This window comes from Homo sapiens, chromosome 1, assembly GCF_000001405.40.
Source record: "Homo sapiens chromosome 1, GRCh38.p14 Primary Assembly".
NCBI classification, from domain to species: domain Eukaryota; kingdom Metazoa; phylum Chordata; class Mammalia; order Primates; family Hominidae; genus Homo; species Homo sapiens.
Window position 1 is genome coordinate 156,839,695 of NC_000001.11, and position 19,861 is coordinate 156,859,555.

General features: G+C 55.8%; 2 protein-coding genes across 2 annotated transcripts in view, besides 4 other annotated features; one reads left to right on the plus strand and one right to left on the minus strand.

Moving 5' to 3' along the window:
- Window positions 1–19,861, plus strand: part of NTRK1 (neurotrophic receptor tyrosine kinase 1) — a 66,101-nt gene that overhangs the window by 23,945 nt on the left and 22,295 nt on the right. Inside the window, exon 2 of the mRNA NM_001007792.1 lies at window positions 2,387–2,499. Within this exon, the coding sequence (NP_001007793.1) occupies window positions 2,387–2,499 (113 nt within the window). The remainder of the gene's footprint in view (window positions 1–2,386; window positions 2,500–19,861) is intronic.
- INSRR (insulin receptor related receptor) lies at window positions 369–19,423 on the minus strand. Its single transcript, NM_014215.3, has 22 exons — window positions 18,843–19,423; window positions 14,058–14,609; window positions 12,194–12,497; window positions 11,952–12,094; window positions 11,596–11,740; window positions 9,552–9,766; window positions 9,227–9,353; window positions 6,825–7,063; window positions 6,258–6,425; window positions 5,925–6,120; window positions 5,678–5,719; window positions 5,382–5,602; window positions 5,013–5,149; window positions 4,768–4,930; window positions 4,481–4,586; window positions 3,733–3,785; window positions 3,310–3,539; window positions 2,704–2,814; window positions 2,418–2,577; window positions 1,971–2,100; window positions 1,700–1,834; window positions 369–1,410 (listed from the first exon to the last, which is right to left on the minus strand). Exons 1-22 carry the CDS (start codon window positions 18,925–18,927, stop codon window positions 1,179–1,181), a joined length of 3,894 nt encoding a protein of 1,297 aa, NP_055030.1. The 5' UTR covers window positions 18,928–19,423; the 3' UTR covers window positions 369–1,178.
- Window positions 1,647–2,328: an enhancer, noted in NCBI's record as "H3K4me1 hESC enhancer chr1:156811133-156811814 (GRCh37/hg19 assembly coordinates)". NCBI's record gives its function as "activates a minimal SCP1, AML or CMV promoter by ChIP-STARR-seq in primed H9 embryonic stem cells {active_cell/tissue: H9 hESC(primed)}" and the evidence as "EXISTENCE:reporter gene assay evidence [ECO:0000049][PMID:30033119]".
- Window positions 2,329–3,008: an enhancer, noted in NCBI's record as "H3K4me1 hESC enhancer chr1:156811815-156812494 (GRCh37/hg19 assembly coordinates)". NCBI's record gives its function as "activates a minimal SCP1, AML or CMV promoter by ChIP-STARR-seq in primed H9 embryonic stem cells {active_cell/tissue: H9 hESC(primed)}" and the evidence as "EXISTENCE:reporter gene assay evidence [ECO:0000049][PMID:30033119]".
- Window positions 4,763–5,398: an enhancer, noted in NCBI's record as "H3K27ac-H3K4me1 hESC enhancer chr1:156814249-156814884 (GRCh37/hg19 assembly coordinates)". NCBI's record gives its function as "activates a minimal SCP1, AML or CMV promoter by ChIP-STARR-seq in naive H9 embryonic stem cells {active_cell/tissue: H9 hESC(naive)}" and the evidence as "EXISTENCE:reporter gene assay evidence [ECO:0000049][PMID:30033119]".
- Window positions 8,243–8,537: a silencer, noted in NCBI's record as "tiled region #5756; K562 Repressive DNase matched - State 18:Pol2". NCBI's record gives its function as "represses a minimal TATA promoter and a strong SV40 promoter by Sharpr-MPRA in K562 cells {active_cell/tissue: K562}" and the evidence as "EXISTENCE:reporter gene assay evidence [ECO:0000049][PMID:27701403]".

The window sequence follows — 19,861 nt, forward strand, 5'->3', positions numbered from 1 at the left end:
AAGTCTGTCCTATGACACTCCAGAAAATACCTACCCAGTGGACCGATATAACGAACATAACAAGGGGTGAAATTAAGATGAGGTGTCCGGGACTGGTTGGTTCTGCTTGGAGGCTAGACACAAAGGTTCCCTGCCGGGCTCAACCACTTCTGGTCCTGAGCAGGAGATAATAGCAAGATTGTCCTGCCTCACTGCCATGGCAACCCTGGCTGCTCGGGTCCTCATGGAGGTGGTGTTTGACAGCAGTGTATTTATCCCGTGTCTCTGCCTTAGGGTCACCACCTCGAGTCCCAGAGGAGGGAGAAAGGAAGTTCATCCAGTGTTAACACCATGTAGATGGAGAGATAATGGGCTGCCTGGGACCAGGGTACAAACAGGCCTCAGCATTTATTGTGCCTTCTCCAGTCTTCCCATGAGAGGCAGGGGTGGGGGCGGGGCTGGGTGAGGGTGAGGGGAGGGAGGAAGATGAGGCTCTGAAAGCCTTAAGCATCCAGGGCTAATCATTGAGGGGAGGGACTGAAGAAAGGGTGACTGTACTCCAAGGGATGCCCCTGGAGAAAAGGAGGAAGGAGCACCAAGCTTGGGGAGCCCTGGGCAGGGCAAAAGGAGAGGAGGAGGTGAGGGCGGGCAGGCTGGGAACCACTCCCCAGGCCCCTGGGTTCTCCCCATGCCACCTGGTCAGTGGAGCTGAGGGGAGGAGGTGAAACCAGTGGCAAGCAAGGCAGTCATGTGGAGCCCCACCCCCCTCCCATACATGCATGGAGAGCGCCCCAGGCCTGCTTCTGATTGCTCATCTGATTTCAAACATGTCGCTGGCCCTACCTGTCCAGAGGAGACCCCAAACTGAGGGGCAGGGCCTCTAGGGTGGGCGGGCCCCCTCTTCCTAGTCTGAGTGGGGTCCCTACCTCTGAGGGCAGGACATCTCTCCCTGACCTGATCTCTACTCCTCTGGCTTTGACCCTGCTTGCTCTCCCCCGAGGGACTCAGAGTCTGAGAAACTCCTATGGTGAGACCCCTCTGCCCACCCCCACAGCCTTCCCTGCTCCTGTTCTCTGCCCCACCCTCGGCCATCCCTTGCCCTGAGTTGGGGTGGGGGTGAACATTCAGGCGTCTCAGCCACAGAGGTCGGGTCCCTTCCTGTCTCCCCATGGGAGGCCAGCCAGGGAATGAGGTGCCCCTCAGTGCCCTGGACCCCCATTTTGAGGGCTGCAGTCTCTTGGAGTGGGTGAGGAGTCAGGCTCTGCATCGGTGGTAGGCAGGGAGCCCCGGGCCCCCCGGCATTCCGGGCTGTAGTAGAAGGAGAGGAGGCGGAAGGAGGGCCGCAGCTCCTCCTGTATGCTGTCCAGAATGTGTGTGAAAGATGGGCGCAGGCGTGGGTTCGGCTGCCAGCAGCGGCTCATCAGCTCCTGCCTGGTGGGTGTGGGGAGCAGGGTCAGAGGCATCCGGGAGCCCCTGCCACGCTCTCAGCCTCCTGCACTGAGGGTCAGTTGGTGGGAGTGGGGATCGTGGGCCATTATGCCTGGGAGGGTGAGAAGGGATTAAATGGGAGTCTTGGGGGTTTGGGATAGGGGGGTGGCGCTCATAGCTGAGGGTCAGTGGATGTCAAAGCATCAGAGGAGGTGAGCCAGAATCATGGGGCCGGGTGGGGGAGGGTTGTAGGTAGATCAACAATGAGGAAGGGGCAGGGGAGGTGACTCACAGCTGAAGGGGACAGCCCTCCAGCTCCTCCAGGACCCCGCCATCCATGACGAACTTCAGCACCTGCTCATTGGACAGGCCCTGGTAGGGTTGTTCTGCCAGGGTCACAATCTCCCAGAGTACCACGCCAAAGGACCTGGGGGCATGCAGGAGCTCCTGAGCCCAGCACCCTTCGTGCTACTCAGTGCATTCCAAGGGATGGGGGTGTTCCAGGCCCCTCCCCAGATCCCGCCTCCACATCCCTGGAGCCCTGTGCTCCAGCTCGGCCCCACCAGACATCCGAGTGGGTGGTGAAGATCCCATCTTTGAGGGACTCGGGGGCCATCCAGCGCACGGGCAGCAGCCCCTTCCCACCCTTGCGGTAATAGTCTGTCTCATACACGTCCCGAGTCATCCCGAAGTCTGGAAAGTGAGGGTGAGGGTGGAGGAGGTGTGGGGCATAAGAGCCACGCACTAGCTCCTGCCCCTGGGATACCTCTCCCAATCTTCTCATCCTCCAGAGTCACCAAGAACCCTGGAAAGTAGGGGCTCAATGGACCTCAGAACTCATCCCATCCAAACCCCTCTGCCCTTGGACAAGAGACTAAGATACAGGGTGGGGGTGACTTGCCAAGGGTCTCACAGGCTGTCAGGACCAGGGCTGTGGGTCTCCTGATGCCTAGCTTAAGGGAGTCTCTCTACTTTTCAGGCCGCCCTCATCTGCCTGGCACCCTCTGTACCCCCGATCTTGACGGTGAAGTCCTGGGACACCATGCAGTTGCGGGCTGCTAGATCTCGGTGCACAAACTTGTTGGCAGCAAGGTAGGCCATGCCGTCTGCAATCTCACCAGCCATTTGGATCATTTCCCCCAATGCTGGCTGTGGGAGCCCAGGGTTGTTCTAGAGCCAAGATTGGGGGCTGGTGAGGAAGGAACCCAGAGGCTGGTCTCCTGTCCAGAACTGGCCCCCACCTCCCACACTGTGCCCAACCCTTCTTTCACTCCCCAGGGTCTTCCTGGTCCCTACCTCTGCCTCAGGCCGCAAAGATCGAAGATGGCTCTTGAGGTCCCCACGGGTCATTAACTCCATGATGACCAGAGTTGGCTGGCCCTGAGATACCACACCCAGGAGACGCACCTGGGACAGACAAAGGGCCTAGCAGACCCCCTAGTTCCCCTTGACCCATTTGGCCAAAATTCTGATCTGCTATGACCACAGTCTGACTCAGACACCAAACCTGACCCTAACCCCAACCATGACTATAACCTGACTCCTGACCTAACAATGACCCTGACCCTAACCCATGACCTTCATCATATCTGATGATCATCACAGTCACGAACTTGGTCCAACTTTGGCCTTGAGCCCAATCAGGACTCTAATAATGATCTGGACACCCAATATTGAGCCCCAATCATGACTGATCTCAGCCCTAGCCATGACTCTACAGTGGCCCTACTATGACCCTGTTTGACTCTAACCCTAACCATGACCTTTACCCCAATTAGGATCCTAACCATGGTCCCAATCTTGACCTTAATGGTGCCCTAACCTCATCTCTGACCCTTTCTTTCTTACCACATGACCTTTACACTAATTATGACCCTGACAATGCCCTTGGCTCTCCCTTACCACATGGTGACACTTGAAGGCTTTCATGACAGAAGCTTCCTTGAGGAACTCAATGCATTCCCGTGGGCTGGCCAGCTCATTCACCGTCTTCAGGGCCACGGGTGTGGACTCCTCTCCAGCCTCAAGTCCTCGTGCCAGCCCCTCATATACCATCCCAAAAGAGCCCTGGCCCAGTTCCCGGATTATCGAGATCTGCTCCCGAGGCACCTCCCATTCATCAGGGACATACACTGCAAGGAGGTGGAGGGTCACAAAGCGAGGATGCTGCTCTCTGCCACACCTCACCCCCCAACTTCTCTTCTCCTCTTCTGAAGGGCTCTTGTCCCAAGGCTATCTTCTGCAAGAAGGTCTTCTGGAAGTCTGTCTCTGCTCCTCTCCTGTCTCCCTTTCCCACACCACCTGTCCACCCACTCCCAGACCTACTATCAGAGGCGCTGAAGTACTCTGGATTCACAGAAGCATACAGGGTTCTGTTTCTGCAACGGGAGGTGAGGGGGTCAGGCTGGAAGGGTTCTCAGGAAGGAATGAGCAACATCAGAAGAAGGAAGAAGGACATTTCAAGGAGGAGGGAAGTTACTGACCACACCCCCAGCCTTGGTCAGGGTGACTCCTGGGGATCCCTAAGTACCCTCCAAGTTGGCCTTGGCCCTATTCCTGGGATCTAACAGGGAATAGGGAGGACACAGGAGTAAAGGGGCTTCCGCCCTGTCAGCTAGTCCCTATAGCCAAGCTGATCGAGGTCCAGCCCCATTTTCCTCTTGCAGTCAGCCCTGGAAGGATCTGACATCAGGCATTCTGGAACACATCCCCAGGCCTCCTGCTTCTTCTCCTAATAAGGGACAGCTCTATTATTTTTCAGCTTGGGTGCACAAACTCTCACACCTGACAGGTGGTGTGAGAGTGTGGTGACCAACAATCCCAGTGTGGCTGGACTGAGAGGTTTCCTAGGATGTGCAACTTTTACTGATAAAACCAGGAAAGTCCCAGGCTAACCGGGATGAGTTGGTCACCCTAACTGAGAGGTATGTTTCCTCTGTGCCACCGCAGGGGAAGAGTTACTGCCTGTATGGAAGACCTGTCTTTCTACTGTCTCATCTACCTCCCTTTGACAGACTTTATGATGAGGGCTCAGGGAGAAAAGGGGGTGGGGACCGGTGGGACTTATCATCACCTCTTCTTGCCGTAGAAGAAACCAAGGGCAGCAAGAACGATGAGCAGCGTGAGCCCCACAGGGGTGGCAGTGAGGAGGACATGCAGCCCCCCAGCATCCTCCTCCTCTGGCAGTCAGAGGGCAGCAGAGGGTAGAGTCAAAGATGTAGAAGTCAGAGGGAAGGTCATGCTTCTCTTTCCATGCTGGGAGGTGAGGATGGGGAGGGATGCGGGGGAGGGGCCTGTGGTGGGCTGGGGACCAGGTAGGGCTGTTCGGTGATACAGGTCTGTGACAGAGGCTGTGTATACCTGGGCCAAGGATGTAGAAGGCAACACTGTCTGTCCAAGAGCCATTGCCAGCCAGTGAGGTTGCCCTAACCCTGGCAGAGTAGTTTCCAGGGGGCAGCAGGGCCAGGTGGACTCCCCCAAACTTCGCATATCGAAGACGGGACACACACAGCACTGTGGCCTCCTGAGAGTAACGCAGAACAGCTGGCTGGGAAGGCGATGTAGGCACAAAACGGGGCTGGGACGGGGGTCCCACGGGCACCTACCTCTCCCAAGCGGCGGTACTTGATTTCGTACTTGAGGATGAGTCCGTTGGGGTCTGGTGGCTCGAGCCAGCGCAGAAGGACACTGTTCTTGCTGGAGGCCTCCCAGGCCACCTTTCCTGGAATACCATCAGCCTCTCCTGCGGGAAGGGGCATCCAGCAGCCGGGCCAAAAGTGGTTCATCTCACCTTATGTTCAAACCCAAGCTAAACTGGGCTGAGCTGGGAGGTGGGGAAAGCTTTGGGATTATGGGAACTGAGAGGGGCAAGCAAAGCGAGGCTCTGGGGTTAGCGAGAAGTCAAACCCCAAACCTTTGCACAGGGTCCTTGGGGTCGGTGATGGGGGTAGAAGGTGTGTGTGTGGATCACCTACTGTGGGGCATGGTGCGCGCAAAGACGAAGGTGGCGGCGCTGCAGCCCACGGTGTGCGCCGCGTGGTTGCAGGCATGGATGTCGATCCGGTATTCCGTGAAGTGGCGCAGGCCGCTCAGCACCGCTCGCTCACGGGGCACCTTGTCCTCCTGGATCTCGAAATCCGAGCTGTTGCCCCCCAGCCGGAGGGGCCCAGCTGCCCGGCGGTGCCGCCCTGAGTCCCTGGGGAGAGCGAGTCAGAGCCAAGGCCCAGCCCCCAAAGCCACGCCCCTCAGCACCTGCCCTAGTCCTGCTCACCTTTGGGGGCTCTTGTTGATGGACGTCACCTTCCAAGGGGATCTGGGGAGGCCAGGAGTAGCCCTATCAGGCCTGTCCGGATGCACCCCTGTGCCCTCTGCAGCGCGTACCGCCTCCAAAAGCACCCACAACCCGGGACCCGCCCACACAAGCAAGGCCCCACCCACAAACCCCACCCCTCCCGCAAGACCCGCCCCTCACAGGCCCCACTCATCAGACCCTCCCAGGCCGCGCGCGCTCTTCGCACATGGGGATGGTGATCGCGTTGTGTAGAAAGTTTTCAAACTTCTTCTGGAACGAGGCCTCTTGCGCCTCCAGCGGGGGCAGAACCTGACCAGGAGGTGGGTGCTGGCAAGGGCAGCAGTCGGACTCCATCTCGGCCTCAGGATCCCCGTCTTCGCCGTCGAAGCGCGGATCGTTGTTGCTGGTGGGCAGCCGCAAGCCTGGCGCCGCAGCGGGAAGACACTAGTAAGACAGGCGGTCTACCCGCCTCTGATCCCCCCCACCTGCCGGGGCCCTGCGCCTCCATCTCCCCTTCCCCACCCGCCCCGCGGCCGGCCTGCGCGTCGTCCCTGCGCACCGCGGTGGCAGTAGTCATTGAGGTAGAGGTCGCCGTCCTCTGCCAGCCGCTGCCACAGCACCAGGTAGTAGGTGAGGTTCCCATTGCGCTGGGTCGGTGGCTTCCAGCGCACCAGGAGGTGGGAGGAGGAGTTGGACGTGGAGATGACGTCTTGGGGCACCGTGGGAGCTAGGAGTGCGAGAAGGATGCAACTCAGGGGTGTGGGTCTTCCTCCTGAATACTATCTAGTAATGAGCCCTCCTTTCTGGGGTCCAACAGCCTTGTTCTCCCAAAGAATAGGTGATCCTCACCCCTGGCTTCCTAGAACTCAGTGTTTTGTTTCTGTCCTCCCCTTCTCTGCCATAGGCCCTTCAGTTCCCTCAGCTATTGACCCCGGACTGTCCCAATCCCAGCCCCGCAAGGACCTAGGCAAATGCTCCCCCTTCTTTCTAGGACTCAAGCATCTGGCCTTCCAGCCTCTGTGGGCCAGGTGTTCAGTGCCCCGGCTTCTCTATTTCTGGTGCCTGTGCTCCCCTGTTCTCATGGATGCAGGCGTCTGACTGACTCTTGCACCCTCCAAATGCCTACCTGCAGGCAGCGTTCGGAGGTAGACGATGGGACTCTGGGCTCCTTGATGAGGGCTGTCCTCCTCAGTGGTTAGCGTGATGGCCCGCACAAACACTGCGTACTGTGTCCAAGGCTTGAGGGAGGCTAGGGTCACCCCTGGCTCCTGGGTGCGGCTTAGGGGCAGCTCCACATCCAGCAGGTTCCAGCTCTGGGTTCCACAAGCATCTGGACCCACGTGCTCTGTGGCGTTCTGGAATGGGCTGAACACCCATCCCCAGAGCTGAGGGGTCATTCAACCCCACCCTCAAGTTCTGGCACCCCCGCTCTGAATCACCCCAGGACTGTCATTGTCCTTCCAGTATGCATGAGGGCAAAGCCATGACTCCAGCCACCTGTTAGACCTTGGCAAGGGGGGGCGGAGGAGGGGAGGGACTGTGATATCTGTGTCAGTGAAATTTGTAATGATATAGCTCCTCATCCTTAGCAGGGAATATCAAGTTCTAGTTTCAATGAATATTGAAAAAATCTTGCATTGAATAAATAAAACAAGAAAGTGTGTGTGAAAGAGTCCCCTCTCCTAGAAACAGCAAGCAATAAGGTTATCCTAATTCCCCTAAGTCTAATTGCCTGGAACGAGGAACAGGAGACTGCTCCCTTCCCAGTGTCTTCACTTAGGCCCTTGAATTGACTTTGGAGGTTTATGAGCCTCCCAAACTATAGCAAAGTTTTGTGCATGTGTGTTTTTCTAGAGAGAGTGTTCCTAGCTTCAACAGCTTCTCAAACATGTCCATGACCCTAAAAGGCCAAGACCCACTGCCACAGGGAAATTAAGGGGCCAGAGGCAACTAGTGCTGGCTGCCTGAAGGCCAGTTTCGGGGCAGGGCTTGGGGAAGCATCACTGGCTTTAGGGGTAGAAGAGGGCTCCCTGGGGGAGATGACAGTGGGCCCCCCATGGGAGATAGCAGAACAGACCATGGGAGACAATGGAACATCACATTGATGTTCATGATAATTTGTTTCTTTGGACTGGGAAGGGGATGATGGAATTCATGCTGAGCCAGGGACAAAACTTGAGGGAGGTCAAATTGGGTGGCAGTGGGGGAACTTGTGGCCCAGCGGGAAGTGCCTGCCTTTGTTGGGACCTATAAGCAGGATAGTCCAGGAGCAGGTTGGGGGGGTGGGGGCTCATAGTGGGTGTCATGGGAGCAGGTGTCCTGTGAGGCATGACACACTGAGCAGGTCTGGGTCTGTTTGGAGTCAGGATTGGGCAGGATCTGCAGTGTGTGTCTCTGAGGGAGCATAGCTGCAGCCACGCTGCAGGGCAGTGATGTTAGGGAAGCTTGTTGAAGGGTTCCCAAGGTTCTCTGCTCTTTGAGCCCAGAGACAGCTGTGTATAGTTGTGCAGATTGTGAAGTGCACAAGCCGGGGAGCTGGGGGAGATTCACACTGTAGTCATGCCAGGGCTCCTTAGAGTGCAGTCCACAAACCAGCAGCTTCAGCATCTCCTAGGAGCTTATTAGACATGTGAATTCTTGGGCCCTGCTCAGGATTAACTGAATCAGAATCAGTGGGGGGCGAGGCCCAGGAATCTGTATTTAACAAACTCTCCAGCTGCCCACGCTGGAGACCTTCACCTACCACTGAGACCTAGGAGGGTCTCGGCCATTTGAGTGGGTCTCCTACAACTGACTTCCTTCCTTTCTCCTCCCAAGCCAGACCCTGAGCCAGTGGTCAGCTAAGTCCTCTCCATTTTAATTCACAGGAAATGCTTCTAAGCCAGGTGGCCTCCATCTTCTATAATATCTACCAGAGAGAGAGAGCATGAACTCCTTACTCCTGCCTTCCCAGCCTGCATCTGAAATCCACTTCCCTCCTCTAAGGATATCTCCTTTTGATTCCTAACCGTGTTTTTGGAGAAGTCTTTCCTGTGGTCTAACCACTATCCTCATTGTTAGGGTCAGTTGACTCTCTCCAAAGAAAAGAGCAGCTGTGGTCCCTGGCGGCCCCTGCTCCCTCCCTTCCTAAGGCTTAAATGAAATGCTGGCAGAGCTGCTCATAAAACTGGCCAAATTAGTGGGCGCTCCCCAAACCGCTGCTGGGGCAGGAGCGTGTGGTCAGTGTAGAACATTAGCATAATGAAGTGAAGTTTAATGATCCAAGCCTTCCCAGCAGGATGGCTCTCCTGGGCTCTCAGAAGCCCTGTCTTCTCCATTTCACTTGGTGAGGGGAAACCGAGGCATGAAGGCATGAAGAAGGTGAGGGAAGAGAGCCAGACCTGGGCCCTACCACGGAGTACAACTTGCGGGTCCTGGCTTCCTGGGTCTTCATAGCCTCGCTGAGCTCCGCCCTCACCTGCCTGTGGTCCCGAAGAAATTGGCCTCGTCCGGTCCCGCCCCCGCTCCGGCCCCGCCCCCGGCACTCACGACTCCTTGTAGTACACGATGAAGCTGAGCAGGTCGCGGGCCTCCAGTGGCTCATAGCGCTCCCAGCGTAGCAGGATGCGGTCTGCCTCCGTCACGTTGGACACGAAGCGCAGGGTGCGAGTCTGGCCTGGGTGGGGCGAGGGGCCTGCTCGCAACCGCGCCTGCCAGCTGCTTGAGCGCCCACCCTGACCCCGCGGCATCCCATTCCCAGTGAGACCTCTGAGGAGAACTTCTCAGAGTGTCCCCCTCGAGCTTTCTCCCTCCCCCGGGTGTGCGTGTCTAGTGTGTGGCCGCGTGTCCACCGGCACTGGGGTTGGGGTCTCACAGGCGGCGCGGTCTCCGTTGGTGCGGGGGTTGATCTCAGCCTTGTTCTGCCGACCTCGCGTGCCTGTCACCTCCTCCAGTCGGTAGATGTGTTCCAAGCAGAGGCGCGGGTTGAAGGCGAAGTAGATCTTGCCCACGGGAATGGTGAGCCCCGCGGCCACCCAGGACCCTAGCTGTTGTAGGTTCTGGTTGTCCAGCACGTAGAGAGTGTAGTTCCTGGGGGAGGCCAGGGGACCTTGCTCTGCGGGGAGGTGGGGGCAGGGGGTGGGAAAGGGGATGGCTTATGGGTTCCTCCTGGAAGGGTTTTGCTGGGCCCGGGGAGAGGGGCACTCAGTGGCTGGCTCACACCAGCACACCGGGGGCATTCGTGCATACCCACTCTGTGCCACTGACCAGGAGTATGATGTCTGCCAAGTCACCCCATCTTTTGGTTTTCCTCATCAGTGAAATGGGGTCCTCAGCTTCCCTGCCCCCATCCTTCCCTCGACTCTCTTTGAACTGAGCACCTGCTATGTGCCAGACTCTGGAGGCTTTGGAGACACCAGGAGGAGTAGTACTCAGCCTGGGCCATTCCTTTCCAGCTGAGGTGTGGACACTCTCGGTGTACATGCAATGTGTCTGGAGACATGAGAAGCCACAGAGAGCCACTAGACTAGATGACTAGATGGTAACTTTTTTTTTTTTTCCTCACTCTGTCATCCAGGCCAGAGTGCAGTGGCACAATTGTGGCCCACTGCCGCCTTGACCTCCCGGGCTCAGGTGATCCTCCCACCTCAGTCTCTTGAGTAGCTGAGACTACAGGCATGCACCACCACGGTCAGCTAATTTTGTATTTTTTATAGAGACAGAGTTTCACCATGTTGCCCAGGCTGGTCTCTAACTCCTAGGTTCAAGTGATCCTCCCACCTCGGCTTGCCAAAGTGCTAGGATTACAGGCACGAGCCACCGCATCTGGCCTGGTTGGTTATTTATTTATGTATGTTTTGAGCTGGAGTCTCCCTCTGTCACCCAGGCTGCAGTGTAGTGGCACGATCTCAGCTCAGTGTAACCCCTGTCTCCCAGGTTCAAGTGATTCTCCTGCCTCAGCCTCCTGAGTAGCTGGGACTACAGGTGCCCACCACCACACCTGGCTAATTTTTGTATTTTTAGTAGAGATGGGTTTTCTCCATGTTGGCCAGGCTGGTCTTGAACTCCTGACCGCATGGTGATCCTCCTGCCTTGCCCTCCCAAAGTGCAGAGATTACAGGCAGGAGCCACCGTGCCCGACCTGGATGGTAATTTAAAACATTCTTTTTTTTTTTTTTTTTTTTTTTTTTTTTTTGAGATGGAGTCCCTCTCTGTAACTCAGGCCCTAGGCTGGAGTGCAGTGGCACGATTTCGGCTCACTGTAATCTCTACCTTCTGGGTTCAAACAATTCTCCTGCCTCAGCCTCCCAAGTAGCTGGGATTAAAGGCACGTGCCACCATGCCCATCTACTTTTTTTGTATTTTTAGTAAAGATGGGGTTTCACCACGTTGGCCAGGCTGGTCTTGAATTCCTGACCTCAAGTGATCCACCCGCCTCAGCCTCCCAAAGTGCAGGGATTACAGGTGTGAGCCACCGTGCCTGGCTCATTCTTTTTATTTTAAAAAATGCTGGCTACATTATAGGTAGGCCTTGACTGGCAGATGATAGGAATGGGTTTCAAACCCAGGCAGTCTTGCTCTGCAGCTGACAGGACCAGATGATGACAATTATAGCCAACTGTTATAGAGTTATATGTGACTGTAATTTATATTGTATATACTGTGTTCCAGGCATTGTTTTATGTGCTTTACACATAACAACTTGAGTAATATTCAAAACAGTCCTGAGAAGTAAGTAATGTTATATTAGCCCTATTTTACAGATGAGAAAACTGAAGACCAGAGAAGTTAACCTACTTAGAGTCACACGCCTAGTGAGTAGCAAAATTGGTTCCAGAGCCCATTCTCTTCACCACTGTTCTGGGAGTGTTGGAGGAAGGAGTGTAATAGAAGGAGCTGGTCAGAGGCCTAACCCTTACCCATCCACCATGGCGTCTCCCCGGATTAGTTTGAGGTTCTTGAAAAAGCCCAGGGACACGAGGGCAAAGGAGTGCTTGATTTTGAGGAAGCCAGTAATGGTTTCTACCAGCCCCAGGCTGTGCTGCAGCTGTGGCTCCAGGTTGTCTAGGGATGGGAAGACAGGGCTGGAGTAGGAGCAAGGAAGGTGATGGGTCTGTGGGGCAAGGGGGCTGAATGGGGGCCCCGGGAAGGTGGGCCCTCAGGACTGGGACCCAGGATGATGGAAAATTGTGCTGAGTTGGGTCATTGTAAGGGTTGTGTCTGGGAGGAAGGGTATGACCAGGAGGAGGGGTGTGGCCCCAAAGTAGGTACTGACAGCCCTGGCGAAGGTTGAGGATGAGGCTTCCCTCCACATGCGTGCAGCCCACAAGATCCTGTGCCGCCTGGATGGAGTCGATGGTCTTGGTGCCTACCTTGCACTCTTTAGGGCACAGCCCCTCGCACTTGTGGCAGAATATGCTAGCAGGAGCAAGCAGATGTCCTGAGCCTTGGACCAGTTTGGGCCTCCTCAGGCCTCCTCACTGCTCCCAGGGTGCCCCCCACCCTCCCTACACTCACCTGCTGCTATTACGGGTGAAGCCAGAAGGGCACTGGGCCAGGCAACTGCCCTGGTGTATGCCGAAGGTGGAGGCACGGCCGGGCACAGAGTGCAGGCTGGCACAGCGCTCAGCTGTGACACAGCGCCAGGACTCATACTGGTAGGTGCCTGGCGGGCAGGCCCACAGGCAGGCACCCTGGAAGTAGAGGTGGCGGCAAGCTACACAGGCACGAGGGTCTTCTGGCTGGCTGCAGCCCCCCAGGCATTCGGTGTGGCAGCACTCGCCCCTCGCTGTGCAAGCCATCCCATGGGGGCAGGGGCACACTGTGGGGAGAGTGGTGTGTTAGACGTTGGCCATGCCCCCTCAGTCCTGGCTGTCCTTCCAATGCTGGCCCCACCCTGTTTCTCTTGGGATGACACTCAATCTGCACCCAGGTCCCTCCCATTCAGATGACACTGGTTGCCGACTCTGTTCCCCTCCGATGGGATTCTTGAGGACAAGGACTGTGGCCGTCTGTGGCTCCCCACCTCCCACAGTGCCTAGTCGGGGGTGTCAGAGCTCAGGACAGAGCAGTGACCTTGTCCATCAGGGTTGTTGCTCTCCAGCCTGCTGTCCTGTCTATCCTATCTAGGCCTGGTGCCCAGATCATGGCTGGGCATGGTGCCAGGGTGAGCGGGCCAGCCTCTCCTGAGCAGCTAGGCCCAGGGGCCTGGGAGTGTGTGCAGGGAGGGGCCGACATCTGTCGTTTTACCCATGCTCCTGCCCATACCGCCCCCACCTCAGCTCCCTGCCCTGGGCAGGAGGTGGCTCCAAGCAGCAGTGGGAGGGTTTGGAGCTGGAGGCCCAATCGCCTAGAAACTGCACAGTGGTAGCTGGCTGGCTATGGGAGCGATCTGTGGGGTAGGGGTCAGCCAGGTCGTGTTGACACTGTACATGAGAGGATGCGCAGCAGCTGTGTTTACAGCCAACAGGGAGGCATCAGGGAGGTGGGGTGCAGCCGATACAGCAGGGATCTTGTTACTCTCCCGCCCGCCCTGCTGCTGAGGCGCTGGGGGTGAGAGGAGCTGACCTCCAGGAGCTGAGTGGAAAAGACCACCAGGTTGGGGGACCCCAGATCTGCTCCCCACCTCTGAAAGGTTTTCTTTTCCTTTCCTATAACGTTTTGCTTACTCCTGCACCAGCCATCCCTTTTCTTTCCTCCTTTCTCCTTTCTCTACTGCTTTTTTCCTCTCCTTGCATCATCCTAAAGGTCCCACCTTACATCTTTGCTCTCACCTGTTCAGTTCTTCATTGATCATCTCCTTTCTTCTCCTGCTCACCCCCAACCTCAACCTCCCATTACAGTATTGCCAGCTGACCCTGGATCACTGTGCTGTGGCCACTCTGATTAGGAACATAGAACTGCTACCATGACCCAGGCCCTGCTCTGACACTTTGTAGAGTAACTCATTCCTCATGACACCCAATGATCATTTTACAGCTGAGGAAACTGTGGCACAGAGAGGCTAAGTGAACATAGCCAGTAAGTGGTAGAGCTGAGACTTGAACCCAGGTCCTCTGGCTTTGGACTTAGCCACTGCCCCACACTGCTTCTTGCGCTGCCTACTCTCTGTTCATGCCTATTCTTTTCCCCCCATGCCCACCTTGAACCTGTCCTTCACCTATTCCATGATGCCGCCTTGGGCCTACCCCTTAGCTGTCTTATGCCACATTGGTTACGTAACTTTTCTGAGCCTTAGTTTCCTTACCTGCCTCATAGGATGAGTGAGGATTAAAAAACAGTGGCAGCTGAAAGTACTGACCCACACCATCCTGTGGCCACCCAGCCCCATGTGACCCTGCTCTCTCCCTTCCCTACATTCATGTTCTGTGCCAGTGCCCACCTCTCTGGCAGTGGCTGGAGGTCCAGCATCTGTAGTCAGTGTGCCCGCTGAAGGTGGTCTTGGCACAGGGCTCACCAGCAGCACCCAGCACACCAGGGCACACGTCAGCACACTCCTCGCCCAGCTTGTTGCCCACGATGTGGTTGGCGCCAGGTGCTGGCTGCAGCAGTCCCCAGTCAATGGTGGAGAGGTGGCAGAGCTCCTGGTTCTTCTCCACACGCACAGCCCCACGCAGCACGGCCCCAAGTGCAGGCAGTGCCACGTCACGCAGATGTGGCATCTCAAAGATGACCAGTGCATAGCCCAGGAAGAGGCGCGTCCCGCGGATGACTGCTAGGTTGGGGAAGAGGTCGCGCAGGCTCTCCAGTCCGTAGACACGGAAGAGCAGCAGGTAGTCGGTGACCTGGGTGAGGCGAGGGAAGCTGAGGCCGCGGAAGTCCTCCCCGGTGGCTGTGAACATGAGCAGGATCTGCAGGTGGCCCTCCACCACGCTGCAGTTCTCCAGCTGACGAAGCTCTGCCACCTCTGAGCGAATATCCAGGCTGGGGCACACTGTGGGCATACACGGCACGCAGCATTGAGTACAGCCCAGGCCAAATTCCCCATCCAGCCCTGGCAGCTTTGGAGGGGAGCCACACTGGCAGTAGGACAATGAGTGAGGAGCCGGGCTCTGCTCTGGGTGTGGGGTGGCCTCCTTCCTGGGCCCCGGAGGGCTCACCTGCAGCCTGCAGGGTCTCTACCAGATGAGCCACACAGGCAAAAATGAACTCCTGATCCTCTCTCCCAAGCCCATCTCCCCTTCTTGGTTAATAGCGACTTCATTCTTGCAGTCAGGCTCCCAACGACTGCAAGCGACTCCCAGCGACTTCATTCTTGCAGTCACCCTTAACACCTTTCTTTTTCACCTTGTACGTCCTGTGGGTTTATCTTTAAAATATGTCCAGGATCTGAACTGCTTGTCAACACCTTCACAGCTTCCACCATCATCTTCCCCTGGATTGACAGTCATAGCCTCCCAAACTGTCTCCCCAGTTCCACCCTTGTCCCTCTATGGGCCATTCTCCACTCTGCAGCCAGAGTGATCTCAAAACACAGATGGATCACGTTTCTCCTCTGCTTATAACCCCCCGTGACTTCCATCTCTCTTGATCTTACTACAGCCTACAGGGCCCTGCACAGTTTGAGCCCTTGTAGCCTCTCTGATTTCATCCTTTTTATCATCTTCAGCCACATTGACTTCTTTGCTTTTCCTTATATGTAACAGGAGCTTTACTACTATAACAAGCCAGCAAAGCTTCTGCCTTGGGGTCTTTGTCCTTCTGTTCCTTCTGGCCAGAATCCTCTTCCCTCTACATGGCTTGCCCACCTCCTTAAGTCTGGCCAAATGTCCCCTTCTCAATGAGGCCTTCTCTGACCATCCAATTTTATCTATCTATCTATCTATCTATCTATCTATCTATTTATTTATTTGATATGGAGTCTCACTCTGTCGCCCAGGCTAGAGTGCAGTGGCACAATCTCAGCTCACTGCAGCCTCCATCTCCTGAGTTCAAGTGATTCTCCTGCCTCAGCCTCCCGAGTAGCTGGGATTACAGGTGCCCGCCGCCATACCCAGCTAATTTTTTGCATTTTTAGTAGAGGCAAGGTTTTACCATGGTGGCCAGGCTGGTCTCCAACTCCTGACCTCAATTGATCCACCCACCTTGGCCTCCCAAAGTGCTGGGATTACAGGCGTGAACCACCACGCCCGGCCTGAACATCCTAGTTAAAATTGACTTCTATTTTCACTGGCTGGGTGCAGTGGCTCACATCTGTAATTCCAGCACTTTGGGAGGCCGAGGTGGGAAGATTGCTTGAGCCTAGGAATTCGAGACCAGCCTGGGCAACATGGCAAAACCCCACCTCTAAAAAAAATATACAAAAATTAGCCAGGCATGGTGGTGCACACCTATAGTCTCAGCTACTCAGGAGGTTGAGGTGGGAGGATCGCTTGAGCCCAGAAGGTCAAGGCTGCAGTGAGCCGTGATCACGCCACTGCACTCCAGCCTGGGCGACAGAGTGAGACCCTGTCTAAAAATAATTATAATAAAATAAATAAAATTGTGACACTTTCTACTCCCCCTTCTGCTTTATTTTTCTCTATAATTCTTAACACTGACTAATGTGCGTGTGTGTGTGTGTGTGTGTTTGTATGTGTATAATATTTTGAGACATGGTCTCACTCTGTTGCCCAGGCTAGAGTGTAGTGGGAGGATCATAGTTTGCTGCATACTTGAACTCCTGGCCTCTTCAAGTAATCCCTCTGCCTCGGCCTCCCAAAGTGATGGGATTACAGGTATCAGCTATCATGCGTGGCCATATATTTATTTTTAACACTGGCTAAAATATAATTTATATATTAACATAGATATTTATTTATAGAAATAGATATATTTTGTTTATTGTAAGCTCCATAAGGGCAGGGATATTTGTATAATTCATGTTGTACCCTAGTGGCTATACCAATAGCTCCTGGCACAAAGTTGGCACTCAATAAATATTTGATGAATGAATGAATGAGTGAATTCTGTGACTGCGAAGAAGTGATCTGAGCTTTGCAGGTCCCATGTCTCTCCCAGTCTTAAGGGAGTTAGATGCCTGTTCCCTGAATTAATTTGATTACTCTTGAAAGGACATTCCATTGCTAAAGATTCAAGTTTCAGTTCCTCAGCCTGACATTGTAGGGTGTAGATAAACCATTCCTTACTAATGCATCCAGCCTCAGAAGGGTCCTTCAGCCTCTCGGGTCAGACCTTTCTTCCCTGACCCTCTGGCCTGGAGTTAATCACTTCCCCTTTAGGCTCAGCTACACTTAGTCCAGCGCCCACATCACATTACCTGGGGGCATGGCTCCAAAATTGTTGTATACATCTCTGTCACCCCCTCCAAGGAGGGTGGGACCCTTGTTAGTCAGCTCTGCTTTCCCCCAGTTGTGCCCAGTCCAGGGCTGGAACCACTGGGCACTCAGGAACCATGGACAATGGATGTCTGGATCCCAAGTTCACTCCTTCCTTGGGGACCTGGGTGTGTCTCGCTTCTTCACTAGGGCCCAAGCCCCACTTCCCTTTCTCTCCCTGGACTCTCTTGCTCCCAAGAGGACCTTCCGTGGCTCCCCACTGCAGAAGATTCAAGTCTGAATGTTTCAGCCTGACATTCAGCTCCTGCTAACGTCTCCAGCCTCTACTTCCCTTCCCACCGAGCCCTCCGGTGTTATCACAAACACCACATGCCACATGCCACGCTATCCAGGCCCCATTCCTGATAGTTTGTTAAGAGAGGTGGGCAGGCAAGGCTGGCTCCCTGGGGGTTACTTCACATCTTCTCCCTGTTGTCATTAATGGTCCTGAGCTTGGCTCTGCCCAGCAGCTGTGTATGTGTGTGTGTGTGTGTGTGTGTGTGTGTGTGTGTGTGTGTGTGTGTGTGTATGTCTGAGCCCACGCAGATACACACACAAAAAAGAGGGAGAGAGAATGAGAAAACACTTCTATCCCTTCCAGGCAAAAGCCAATCAGGCTCTGCGAGGCAGATAGGGGTTCTCTCAGGCGCCCACTTCCCATCATGCCCCTGCCTCTCCAGGGCTCCCCTGATGGGAGTCATTTGGAAAAACAAATCTAAAACCTTCACAGTTTAACCCCTGCCTTCCCTCAGGACCTGGCTCTGTGCAGAGCTGCACTGGGAACAGAACATCTGGGTCCCCTGAGCAAATACTAGCCCCTCCAAGGATGTGCTCCTGTCCTGACAACCACACTCCCAGCTGGCATCTGCTGTGCAGAAGAGGAGGGGGTTCGGTGGTCGGGGGAGTGGTGCTATGCCTTACAGACAGAGGATCTGTGACTAGCACCCTTTAGGGGACCTCCTACCCAGCCCATTGCATCACTCTCCCATCTCCATGGGAAGAGGAGACTCCCCTGCCCCTGGGAGCCCCCAGTCTGAGGGGCATCATAGGACCTCTCGGGCAAGCACAGAGTCTGGATTCCTGAGCTGCTTCAGTTTGGAGGGGAATGGTGGGACTGGGGAAGGGGATACCTCCTAATCCTTCCCTTTTTGAAGCTTCCACCCTCAGCTCTTTTTCCTCTTTCCACCAATCCCCCAGCACCTCCATGAGGGTCATTTAGTCTATATAGTCCCCCCACCCCTCCTCTCTAAAACGTACTGATGGGCAGTATCTAGCCTGGGGGACAGGCCCTGGGGTGTTGAGGAAGAGCAGTCTTCCCCCAAAACCAGCCTTCCTCCCTGTAGGGATTGGGCCCTAAGAGGGGGGACACAGGACAGGGCCCTGGAGGCAGGAGCTCAGGACCCAGTCTAGCTTTACCCTTAGTTCTCAGAGCTGCAGTTTCCTGTCGGCAACATTGCCTCCATTACTTAATGGTGCCTGGTTCTCAGCTACCTATCCCACCCCTGCCTCTTCCCATTCAGTGGCCCTAGAGATGACTTCTAACACTCTCACGGCCTCATTTGGGTTTTCAGGCAAGCTTCACTGGGATCACAGTTTCACTAGTAGGGACGGAAGATATCTACTTGTCCACGTTTTGAAGCTCTTCTCATCTCTGAGGGAGCTGAGGGAAAAACACCTTTATGTGGGGAACTAACTGCTTTTCCTGCTGGGCAGTTCTCCTGAGCGCTAACCCCAACCCCCATGTTCCAGTGCAGAGTAAGTGGAGGTGCTGTGGCTGCAAGCTCAGTTTTTTGGCCTCCCAGCTGGCTGGGAGGGAGGTAGGGGTCTGGGAGCCAGTTCTGGGGACTCACCCTCTACTGTATCCAGGCCAAATCCCAAGGAGAGGAAGATCACAGGCAGGCATGCTCCCCAGGGCCACAGACTAGGCACTGCCATTGTCCCAGCCCTGGCTTGTGTCCAGTCCCGGCTCTCCTCCCGGTGACTCTGGGGAGAACGGTGTGATAAGCCCTAAGGGACACAGAGACCAGGGTTCAGATAGGAGAGGGAGGGCAGGGGCAGAGAGACAAGGAATCCCACACAGAGACAGCAGGAGACAGAAAAAAAGAAATGAGAGTCACAGAGACACAAAGACAGTGACAGGCAGTTGGAGACAGAGAGACTCAGCATGAGATTGAGAGATGGGGACAGAGATGCAGACAGTGACAGGGAGAGTCTCGGGCCTCCAGAGGGAGAAAATGACACAGGGTTCTGAGCAAAAGGCAGGCCGAGAGGCCAGCCAACCCTGAGGGCGGAGCAGCAGGCTGGGGACCGCTCCCAAGGAGGGCAGCGGGGGTCCCGGGGCGCGTGGGACTCCGCAGGGAGAGTCTCCCTGGATCCCTCCGGGCGCGCGGCCCCCCAGCGCCAGCTGACAGTGCTGGCTGCGGTCCTTCCCAGGGCCGGCACGCAGGGGCCGCGCCCAGCTCCCGCCCTCCCCGCCCCCCGCCTAAACAGATTGGTTCGCAGGGACCTTTCCGTTCTCTCCACCCCTCCCGCCAAGTCAAAATATTTAGCCTGACAACTGAGGGGAGGACAGGTCTGTTGGGGAAATAAGGCCAAAATACGGGGGGAGGGTGGGCCAAGAACTGAGCTTCCTCAAATCCCGCTGCGGCTGCAGCGGCTCCCGCCAACCCTTTGTCCCCACCACAGGCTTCTTCCAAGTGGGGCTGCACCGCCGGAGGGGCAGCCAGCGCGCCCGGGCTTCTGGGGAGCGCTGTGTCTAGATTCTGCTTCCCGGTGCCTTGACATCTGCGGGGTAACTTCTGGCAGCCTCGACCCGGGAGAACGTGGACAGCCCTTGGCCTCTGGGAGCCCCTCTCAGCCTCCTAGGAGG

Excerpts from the sequence above, each read along its gene's own strand:
- INSRR (NM_014215.3), bottom strand. The coding sequence starts at position 18,927 with ATGGCAGTGCCTAGTCTGTGGCCCTGGGGAGCATGCCTGCCTGTGATC. Across the intron at positions 9,767-11,595 it reads GGAGACGCCATGGTGGATGG|GAACTACACTCTCTACGTGC; the intron begins GTAAGGGTTAGG and ends GGCCTCCCCCAG. Across the intron at positions 3,786-4,480 it reads TTCTTCTACGGCAAGAAGAG|AAACAGAACCCTGTATGCTT; the intron begins GTGATGATAAGT and ends CTCCCGTTGCAG.